General features: G+C 51.1%; 3 annotated features.

Moving 5' to 3' along the window:
• Positions 1,487-1,996: an enhancer, noted in NCBI's record as "H3K27ac-H3K4me1 hESC enhancer chr15:74735145-74735654 (GRCh37/hg19 assembly coordinates)". NCBI's record gives its function as "activates a minimal SCP1, AML or CMV promoter by ChIP-STARR-seq in primed H9 embryonic stem cells {active_cell/tissue: H9 hESC(primed)}" and the evidence as "EXISTENCE:reporter gene assay evidence [ECO:0000049][PMID:30033119]".
• Positions 1,958-2,142: a silencer, noted in NCBI's record as "fragment chr15:74734999-74735183 (GRCh37/hg19 assembly coordinates)". NCBI's record gives its function as "represses an EF-1alpha promoter that drives an FKBP-Casp9 reporter gene in an ReSE screen in HepG2 liver carcinoma cells {active_cell/tissue: HepG2}" and the evidence as "EXISTENCE:reporter gene assay evidence [ECO:0000049][PMID:32094911]".
• Positions 2,509-3,018: an enhancer, noted in NCBI's record as "H3K27ac-H3K4me1 hESC enhancer chr15:74734123-74734632 (GRCh37/hg19 assembly coordinates)". NCBI's record gives its function as "activates a minimal SCP1, AML or CMV promoter by ChIP-STARR-seq in naive H9 embryonic stem cells {active_cell/tissue: H9 hESC(naive)}" and the evidence as "EXISTENCE:reporter gene assay evidence [ECO:0000049][PMID:30033119]".

Raw genomic sequence — 10,552 nt, 5'->3', positions numbered from 1 at the left:
GATACTCTTAACGTCCAGATATGGCCCGAACAGGATGTTATTCTTTGCCTCTTCCAGAAAATTTGAGAAGTCTCTCTATGTGCATTGACAGAAAAGACTCAGAACTGGGCTTCTCAATGCCAGGCCTCTGTGTGCCTCAGTGGTCTGCCTGGAGCCCAGCTGCCTACTTGTGGTTGAGAGCAAAGACCAGGAAGCTCTGTCTTTGTACACAGTGTCTCTTGCTTGTTTGTGGTGGAAACAAAGGCCAGTCCTATCCTCATGGGTCTGTCTTGGTCAAATGGGGCTGACACAGCCCTTCCTGTGCCCATGATACAGCCTGCCCAGAGCTCGTTTCCATTCTGTGGCAGCTCTCACCCTGCCTCTGAGGACTGCCTTCAAAGGTGCTGGGGTTCCTTAACTCCCCTATCCCATTATGCTGCAGAACATTTGGGTCACCCTGCCCTATCCCTTGGACCAACCCCCAATACCAGTTCCCAGAACAGAGCCGTCCCCACGGTTTCCCTTTCCCTTCTTTGTTGGCTCTTTCCTCCAGGGGCTTGGCAAGTTGGCTTTGCTTCCTGTGGCCATGTTTTGAGTAGTCTATGTTGAGTCTGATAAGTGCCCCCACTGAGCCTGGGGCTTTCCATGAGCCAAGGACTCTTTCCTCACCATTGTCCCTTTCATCCTTTCTTCTTATTTTTATTATTTTTTTTAAAAAAATTTATTTTTTTTGAGACAGAGTCTCGCTCTGTCGCCCAGGCTGGGGTGCAGTGGCACGATTTCAGCTCACTGCAACCTCCACCTCCTGGGCTCCTGCCTCAGCTTCCCAAGTAGCTGCGACTACAGGCATGTGCCACCATAGCCAGCTAATTTATGTATTTTTAGTAGAGATGAGGTTTCGCCGTGTTGGCCAGGCTGGTTTCAAACTCCTGACCTCAAATGATCCACCTGTCTTGGTCCCCTAAAGTGTTGAGATTACAGGCATGAGCCACCGCGCCGGGCCTCCTTTCATCCTTTCAACAAACATTGACTGAGCCTCCACTCTCTGCCAGATAAACATGACGGTATCTTTGCTCTGACAATGCTGTGTTGTTGGTAAGATGGACAAACAGATGATTGCATTAAAGCCTAATGAGAACTGGGCGAGGCAAGTCTAGGGGCTGTGGCGCTCACAGGAGAGGGGGCTAACGTGGGCTAGGGGTGGGGGTGTGAGGGTGAGGGAAAGCTTCATGGAGAAAGTGGCACTACGCTGAGACCTGAAGGGTAAGGGAGAATTGGGCACGAAGGTATATGTACTGAGGGGGCTGGGAGTGGGGAGCAAACCTGGCTTTTGTAGCCCTGTTTGTCAGGGTGGCTTGCAAGGCAAGTGGGTGGGCAGAGGCTAGATCATTTGAAGCTATGTAAGGAATTTAGACTTACCCTGGACAATGGGAGTCACAGAATGGCAATCGGGAGAGAGTCCAATGTGTGTTTTAGAAAGGTCATTCTGGCTGCTGTGTGGTGAGTATAGTGGGAGTAGAAGACTGAGGGAGGGCAGGCATGAGGAAGCCGGGGAGGAGGCTGTGGCAGTGATCCACTTAGAGCTGCTGGTAGGCTGACCTGACGGCGTGGCAGTGGGGAAGGAGAGGAGGAGGTAGAGAGGCTTTAGGAGTTAGAATTGATACCAGATCTTTGGGAAAGGCGAGTATACTGTTGTCTCCACTGAACAGATGGGGACACCAAGGTTCCAAGGGTTGAAATCATCTGCCCACAGTCTCATGGGCAGGAAGTGGACAAGTGGTCCCAGAAACTCAGGTCTGTCTTACTCCAGAGCTGGTGCCCTTCCTCCCACTGCCCTTGGCCTCTGAAGTGTGGAGGAATGGGAGATGATGAGGGCTTAGATCCGGCTGAGGAGCTAGGGCTTTATCCTGAGGGCAAAGAGCACCCCTGAGGCAGCTGCAGGCAGGGCAGTGGGGGACCAGATCTGTGTGTGAGATAATCTGACAGCTGTGTGGAGGCTGGATTTGTGGGAAGTGAGATGGGGTAGGCGACCAGCTAGGAGGCTGGCTGGATCCTCCAGATGGGACATGGAGGGGGCCTCAACTGGAGCTGCTGCAGGGGAGCTGGGTGGAGGGGAGCTGCTAGGTGTGAAGGACAGACTAGCTCTGGGGGCTGAAAGTGGGGAGGCAGGCAGGATGTGAGCAGGCGGATGGTGGTGCAGCAGTAAGAATAAGGGACTGGGGTGACAATTTGGAATGAGGTGCCATAGGACAGCCAGGTGGGGATGTGTATAATTAAAGACAGTTGGATGTCTTTGGGCTGAGGTAGTGATCAGGAAGTTCTAAGTTGAACACTGGGCCTGTGTCATGTGAGAAGGCAATTAAGCTTTTCAGAGAAAGGTAGAGGAAAAGGGATACCCACTAAGGAGTTCAGCTTTATAGAAAATGGTGACTGATAGATGTGAGGCATGGAACGGGCGCAGGATCTGCTGCTTCTGGGAAGGTGAGAGCAGGAGTCAGCAAAGCTGAGGGAGTGAAAGGACCTGGACAAAGAGGGCATGCTCAGTGGGGTCAGATGCCACAGACAAACCTAGTAACAGAAGGGCTGACCTTGGACTTGTTGACTTGTGCCTTGGTGACCTTGGGGAGACATTCCAATGGAACCGGAGCCAGATAGCAGGGGTTGAGGACTGAATAGGTGAGGGGCAGTGGATGCAGAGAGGGCAGGGGACCTTGCTTGTGAGGGAGAGGATAGTAGTTAGAGGAGAGATGGGATTGAGTGTGAGTTTTTGCAGTTCAGCAGAGGTGAAGTTGGAAGTGATCACAAGAACTTTTCTAGGAAGCTGAGGGAAAAAAAGGAAAAGACCCCAAAATAGAATATGCAAATATGTAGAGATGGGTGAGTTTTCTAACAGATCCGTTCTCCTGATATAACTCAAATTTGGCTGGGCTGGTATGGGCTGGGCTGGCACAGCTTGCTGGGCACATGGGCCCCAGATCTGCTCCTCGCCTCAGTCCCATCTGGCCTGGGCCCCAGACCAAGCTCACAGAGCCCTACCCTGAGGTGGCTTCTTGTTGCTGTTGCCACAGACTTTGGCCCTGGGTGTTTGTTGAGGATGTTGGGGAGTTTATTCAGGCCTCCCTCTTTCTGCTTACCCAGCCTCTCCAGCAGGTGGGGTCCCCTCTGGCCCTGGGCTGGGCTCAGGTCAGTTCAGCTGTGCCCCTAGTTCCTCTGGGCCTGGGCCTGTCTCGTTCTCATAGGCTCTGAGATCGCTGGGAATAGAATTCAACTTCTATGCTAGAAATGCTTTCGTGGCAACCCAGGCACTGGCCTACTCTATCTTGGCAAAACTAGCTAATATTAATAGTACATTACACAGCACAGTAGTGCTTATTTATCAAGCATCCTCTCTGTGCCAGGCATTGAGCTAGGCACTCACATGTGCCATCTTAGTTAATCCTCATAGCGACTCTGAAAACTAGATATTATTAGCCCCATGTACAGAGGAGTGCTTCCTGTATGCTGGGGAAGTGGCCTTTCTAGGGCTTGGGTGGGATTGTGTCAGCATGATTCCATCAGTGCACCCACCTGGGGCCTTGTGCCTGGCTGGCCGAAGGGTCTCCTAACCACTTACCTTTGGAGTGGCAGCTCAGGTCTTGGAGGGGACTTAGGCTTCTAAGTCAGATTGAGGTTTAGATTGCTTTTCCACATATGACCTAACTTCTTGGAGCGTCAGTTGTGCCTTGTTTGACGTTTTCCCTCAATTTCTATAAGTGGATATTGAGTATGTGTATCAGAGATGCCAGGCACTCAGAGCTGGGCCAGTGAATGTTCTAGATGGCATCAGGGCCCAGACAATGAAGTAACCCTAACAAGGACAGAAGCAAAGAAAGTCTAAGGTCCTGCAGTGGGGACCAGAAATTTTTTTTTTTTTTTTGAGACAGAGTTTCACTCTGTCACCCAGGCTGGAGTGCAGTGGTGCAATCTCGGCTCACGGCAACCTCTGCCTCCCGGGTTCACACCATTCTCCTGCCTCAGCCTCCTGAGTAGCTGGGACTACAGGTGCCCGCCACCACGCCCAGCTAATTTTTTGTATTTTCAGTAGAGATGGGGTTTCACCGTGTTAGCCAGGATGGTCTCGATCTCCTGACCTCGTGATCCGCCCACCTCGGCCTCCCAAAGTGCTGGGATTACAGGCATGAGCCACCGCGCCCGGCCAAGGGGGACCAGAAAATTAATTGCTCTTATGCAGAATCGAGTCTCATTTCTTCTCCTGGGCCCAGATTCAATAATCTTTCTCAAATGAGCATCCCAGAGAGCCACTACTGATGGTTGAGAATTGGCCCAGGGATAACCCTGGGCTGAGATCAAGAGGATTTAACAACGTGTTGTCTCAACCCATTAAGAGTGCCTTTAGAGGTGCTAGAATAAGGAGGAAGGAAGCTAGTCTTTCAGCCCTTTACTGCTCAGCCTCCACACTAGGTGTTGTGTTCTGATCTGAGGCCTGATCTTTGAAAGAGAGAGACACAATCTGGACTGTTTAGCACCTAGGAGGGGTCAGTAAAAGTTTGCTAAATGACGGACTGATCGTGTCTTAGAAATCAACCAGGATTAGAGAGCCTCTCAAGGAAAGCCCCATGAGGGATCTATTTGAAACTGGAGTTATTTACCCTGAATAAAGAGCCGATTTAGAAGGATGTGACCTCTGTGAAATCACTGAAGGGCCGTATTCCAGGAAGAGAGATTAGACATGTCCTTGTTGCCTCAGAGGGCAGATTTAGGACCACTGTTTGGGAGTCTTCCACTGGGGAAGAAAGCTCTGTGTCAGAGCTAAACAAGATGGGCAACGCTGGCTTGTGAGGGAGCTCATCATCACTGGAGGTATGTAAGCAGAACCTGCATGGCCACCATAAGGAGTCTTGTGAGTGGCTCTCAGGTAGGACTGAATCCCCTTTGACAGCTACTCCTAACTCCAGGAATTGAGATTCTTGGATCATTATATTCATGAAAGAAAGTGAACTGTTTGTGGGTAACCACCCTTTTGCATGTGTATCTCCTCACTGAAGTGGCCTCAGCAGGCCCAAGGATCACATCAGAGCTGGGAGGGTCCTGGGACATCTTCTCTCCTATAGACATCACTTTATTTTTATTTTATTTTAGTTTAGTTTAGTTTAGAGATGGAGTTTTGCTCTTGTTGCCCAGGCTGGAGTACAATGGTGCACTCTCGGCTCACTGTAACCTCCACCTCCTAGGTCAGGTGATTCTCCTGCCTCAGCCTCCTGAGTAACTGGGATTACAGGCACACAACACCATCCTCAGCTAATTTTTATATTTTTAGTAGGGACGGGGTTTCACCATGTTGGCCAGGCTGGTCTTGAATTTCTGACCTCAGGTGATCCACCTGCCTCGGCCTCCCAAAGTGCTGGGATTATAGGCGTGAGCCACCATGCCTGGCCGACATCATTTAAAAGCATATTTAATTCATCCTATAGAAGGAAATGCAGAAGATGGAATGAGAAAGCTTTGTCTCTCTCTGATACAGAGAGAAGATAGACCAGGAGAAGAGATGGAGTTTTAGCTCTTCTTTCTCATTTTGTACACAAAGAAACAGAGGCCTGGACTGGGTCAGGGCCTTGCTTGAGTCAGTATCCAGGCTGAGACTTCATCTTTGGCCTCCCAGCCATGTCTAGTCAGGAGATTTTGTTAGTCTAGATGGATTCTATGTGACATCCATGAGATTCTGCCCTGCCTCAGGCTTTGGACAGTGAGAATAGAGGCTCAGAGATGGATTAGGGGCATAGGAATGGGAGGGAGAAGTTTGTCTCCAGAAAGTCTGGGGAGTGTCTATCACAGAAAAGTGCATGTAGAATGTATGACTAGAACAGAGAGCAGAGATGCACTTGGTCTTTGCTAAGACTCGGCTCTGTTCCAGAGTGGCCACCAGGTGGCACTCCCACCACAAGCCCAGTGCCACGTTGGCCAAGTTTGGGGCTTGGGGCTAAGGATGTTGCTGATTTGTCTGTGGAAGGCACAGGACCTGTAGTGTTTTCAGGTGAGCTGAGTGCCCTGCTAGAAGGAAAAAAAATCTGTCTCTTCTCTGCTGACTGAATATTCCTCTTTGGATTTTTCCTTTGTCTTACTTAACTTGGCTGGCCCTACTTAGATCTTAGCAATTTAGGTAGGGTTGATCAGATAAAAATGCACGTAGAATGATTAGGATAGAAAGCAGAGATGTAGGCATGGGATGCTGCTGGGAGCACGACCCTCAGGGCTAAGAAGGTGGTGGCAGTTCTGAGAAGTTCTCCATTCACAGTGGGCTGAACTGATGTATGGAAGGTGGTGATCTCTGAACTGGTCTAGGAGGAAGAGGCAGGCACTTGAGGGGAATGTCCTGGCTGAGGTTTGGAGGCAGGCAGAGCACTGAGGGGAGGGTGAGGCATGGCCTGGGCAGCCTGAGAAGTGTCTTCTTGGCACTCCTTGCCTGACATGGTCTGCCAAGAGTTGGGCCAGGTATAGTGACTGTCGTGCCTGTGCCTGTGAGATAGTCACAGTGGGCACATGGTATGTTGGGGGTCCCAGATATGGGCCCCAGACCTGTTTTTATTTGCCCATATCCATCCTCCTTAACTTTTGAATTATTTGCCAATATTTTAAAAGAGAGAGTTTCAACAAAGAGTCAATTTTCTTTTCTTTTTTTTGATGGAGTCTCGCCCTGTCACCCAGGCTGGAGTGCAATGGCGCAATCTCAGCTCACTGCAACCTCCACCTCCCAGGTTCAAGTGATTCTCCTGCCTCAGCCTCCCAAGTAGCTGGGATTACAGTTGCGTGCCACCATGCCCGGCTAATGTTTACATTTTTAGTAGAAATGGGGTTTCACCATTTTGGCCAGGCTGGTCTCGAACTCCTGACCTTGTCAGATAAAAATGCATGTAGAATGATTAGGACAGAAATCATTGACCTTGTGATCCACCCACCTCGGTCTCCCAAAGTTCTGGGATTACAGCCGTGAGCCACCACCCCTGGCCTCTTTTTTCTTTTCTTTTCTTTTTTTTTTTTTTGAGACAGAGTTTCACTCTTGTGTCCCATGCTGGAGTGCAGTGGTGCGATCTTGGTTCACTGCAACCTCCGCCTCCTGGGTTTAAGTGATTTTCCTGCCTCAGCCTCCCAAGTAGCTGGAATTACAGGCGCTCGCTACCATGCCCGGCTAATTTTTGTATTTTTTAGTAGAGATGGGGTTTCACCATATTGTGCAGGCTGATCTTGAACTCCTGACCTCAGGTGATCCACCTGCCTTGGCCTCCCAAAGTGCTGGGATTACAGGCATGAGCCACCGTGCCCAGCCCTCAATTTTCAGCTTCTCTTGAAAATCATACTACCTTTCACTACTGGGTTTACTTCTTCATGGTTCCATGGGCTGGAGCTGAGTCGAAATTGCCTTATAGACAGCACAGGGTTCTGCAGACCCCAGCCCACCCACTCCCCTCGTTCTCATCAGTTCCAAGTCTCTGCCCCCTGCAATAGGTAGTAATGGTGGTAGGCAATAGGAATTGTTGCTGCTGTTAGTAGCCAGGAGGTCTGAATGGCCACCAAGCTCTGAGGCCTCAAAGAAGGGGTGGGATCTAGCATGGAGGGGGCTGTTGGGGATTGAATGCCCTCTGAGAGCTACTTCTAATCCTAAGAATTGGGATTCTTGGATCATCGTATCTGTGAAAGGAAGTGAACTGTGTGTGGGTGACCTCACGTCTGCATATGTTATCTCCTCACGGAATCCTTCTATCTCCCACAGGCCTCTTGTTTGAGGTGGGTCACTCCTGTGAAGGCCATGTGTAGCCATGGAATCAGGGCTGAGGAGGAGGTCAGATAACTCTGGAGAATGGAAGGATGAGTTAAGTTGGACCCTGAAAGGTGAGAGGCTTTAGTTGGAATGTTGGGGGGATTGCCCGGGGCTTCTGCCACTGCTTCAAGACCATGAATCTCAGGTCTGTGTGTATCCATTTCTTTCATTCCAAAAGGAGCCTTCTTGGATTGGGCTGTGCCTCAGCTGTCCATGGGGCTCAGGAAGTGATCCTTCTCAAGGTATTTTTCTTATCGATAGAAGCCCTGCATCATTTCTTCCTCCCTCCCCTGAATGTGGAATCATGGAGAAGGGAGGGACAAGAATGTGCCTCCCCATCAGACGTGTCAGCATCCACATGTGTTGCTTCCTCTGCTGGTCCACTTCCCATCACTGGCTGTGAGTGGGAATTGTGCCCCTGTTCTTGGTCCAGGCTCAAGAGCCAGCCTTGGCCTCCAATGAGGCAGGCAGGCCTCTGACACCACCTATACCATTCTGACTTGATTTTCCTATGCTGCCTGAGGCAGGAAAGTCCATGCCTAAACTCTGGTCATAGTGCCTGCCCCACAGTCTAGCTGCCTTTCCCTTTATAAAGTTATTGCCTCAAGTCATGGGCTTAGTTCTCTCCTCCCCTGGCTGCCTGCAGCCAACCGAGAGAGTGGGCTGCCATCTCGCCTGGCCCTTTGTCCCCAGGTTGGCTGGCTTGTGGGGAGGATGGTCTTAAGTACTACTTCCTTCCCCCCTACCCCCCAGTCTGGAAAAAAAATTATCTGGCATCTACCCCAGTTTCCATCTGCTACTCTGTTGATTGGGAGATTGAGCCCATTCCCTGGTCTGCCCTCCTACTCAGCACCTGGTGACCTGGGCCCTATCTAGGTCCTTCTGGGGATGGTTTGGACCCAGACTTCAGCCACAGACAGGAGGCAGCAGTGCCAGGGTACATCACACAGAGAGAAGTCAAGGGTGTGGGTCCTTGAGAAACCACCTGAGTTTCAATCCGTCCTGCCTCTAGTTGTGCGATCCTGGCACTTCACATCCCTTGTCTGTGCCTTGATTTCTTCATTTGTAAAGGGAGGTGACTAATAGCTCCTATCTCATAGGAGTGCGAAGATTGAATGAGTTGGGAGAGGCTATGAGATGGCACAGCACATAGGAACCACAGTGTTAGCAATTGTTATTGCAGTCAGAAAACCCATCTTCGTTCTACCATTTACCGGTTGACCTCGGGCAGGTCCGTCCTTGTCCCTCCCTGTACCTCAGTTTTCTTCTCTGCAGTGGAGTTACGCTCCCTCCCTCAGTGAGAGGAAGAGAGTGGAGGACTGGCAGAGATGAGGTAGGTGAATGTGGGTTATGTGTTGTGAGTTGCCATGCACATGGGCAGTGTTATCATTGATTTTGAATCCATTTGAATTCTTAGTTCCAAAAGGCAGAGACAGGTGATTTCTTAGTTTGCCCTAGCTTTGCATAGAGAGGACAGACACTGAGGGCAATACCTGTCTAGCAGGTGAAACCGAATGTCCATCTTAGAGGCTGGCCTGGGCCAGGCTCCACTGCTGGCTTCAGGGCCACAGGCTTAGGTGCAGGCCTGAGGAGGAGCTCTTAGACTGTCCACAGCCTCCCTCTCTGGGGCAGTGTGCCCCTGTGTATCAGGAGGCTGTTGGCTTCACCCAGTGGGCCAGGAACCTCACTCTGCACTGTCTCTGGAGGTACCTTGAGTTTACCTTCCTGGCCTGCTGGGGTGCCTCAGGACTCTGAGGGAAGAAGGAGGGGACAACTGGAAGCAAAATGTAGAATGGTAAAGCCAAACTTCTTGGTAGCAAAACTTTCCTGGTTCCAGGAGGTAAAAACAACAACCAAATGGTCCTGGCCCCATGGAGCAGGGCAGAGGGCAGAGGGCAGCCAGCCCACCGCCTTTGCTGGTGTCTGCAGTGCGTGAATCGTGTCTAGGTCTGTGAGTTCTGAAGGTTGGATGTTCACCTCTACTCCTTCCTCGGCCTGTCTCCTCTCAGTGCAGCTAGACATCCAGTAAACACTAGATAAGTACTTACTGAGCTGGGTGGATTTTCCATTCATGGTTCCCTGGGGCACAAGTGGAAGTGGTAGGTCTGGGCCCTGTCTGGTCTAGAGAGAGGAGACCCTTTTACAAAGGGCAGGCACGTAGTTCTGAGAGGAGGAGCTGATGGCAGAGCTGGCTGGACTGCTCAGGTAACTGCAGAGGGTCTGGGCCTGGACCCCCCAAGGGAGTCCCCACTGAATGGTCAGGTTGCCTGAGATAGCTGAGCCCTAGGCACTTTGCGGGCAGAGATCCCCTTAAGCTGCTTTGACCCTCCCTCCCCCACAGTGAGTGGGGCACGGGGGATGCTCCCCTCTCTACTTGGGGAAGGGGCCTTCCTAATTATATCCCCCTCCACTCACATGGAAATGAGTTTGGATTTTCTGAGCGTACACCAGCTGGCTTGGGGGGAGGCAGCCCAGAAGGCTGCTGGCTGGGAAAGGGAGGAGAAAGGAGAGGGAGGGGAAGGAGCCAGGCCAAGATGAAAAATTTCCAGTGTTCTCCCAGGCAAAGCAACAGCGGGTCCCTGAGTGCTCCCCACATATCATCGTTGTGCCTGCTGGTAGGCTCAGCAGGGAGCCGTGTCCACTTAGGCGAACGCATCCTCCGAGGACCATAGTCCTCAGGGTGCGAACCACTTAGCTGGCCATAGCAAGGTTGTTGGGTGTTGGACTCCTCTGCGCCCTTGGAGAGAGGTCCTCCACGAC

The sequence above is a fragment of the Homo sapiens genome, chromosome 15 (assembly GCF_000001405.40).
Source record: "Homo sapiens chromosome 15, GRCh38.p14 Primary Assembly".
In the NCBI taxonomy this organism is placed as follows: Eukaryota; Metazoa; Chordata; class Mammalia; order Primates; family Hominidae; genus Homo; species Homo sapiens.
The sequence above is the reverse complement of the archived record's forward strand: the minus strand, read 5'-3'. Positions and strand labels throughout refer to the sequence as shown.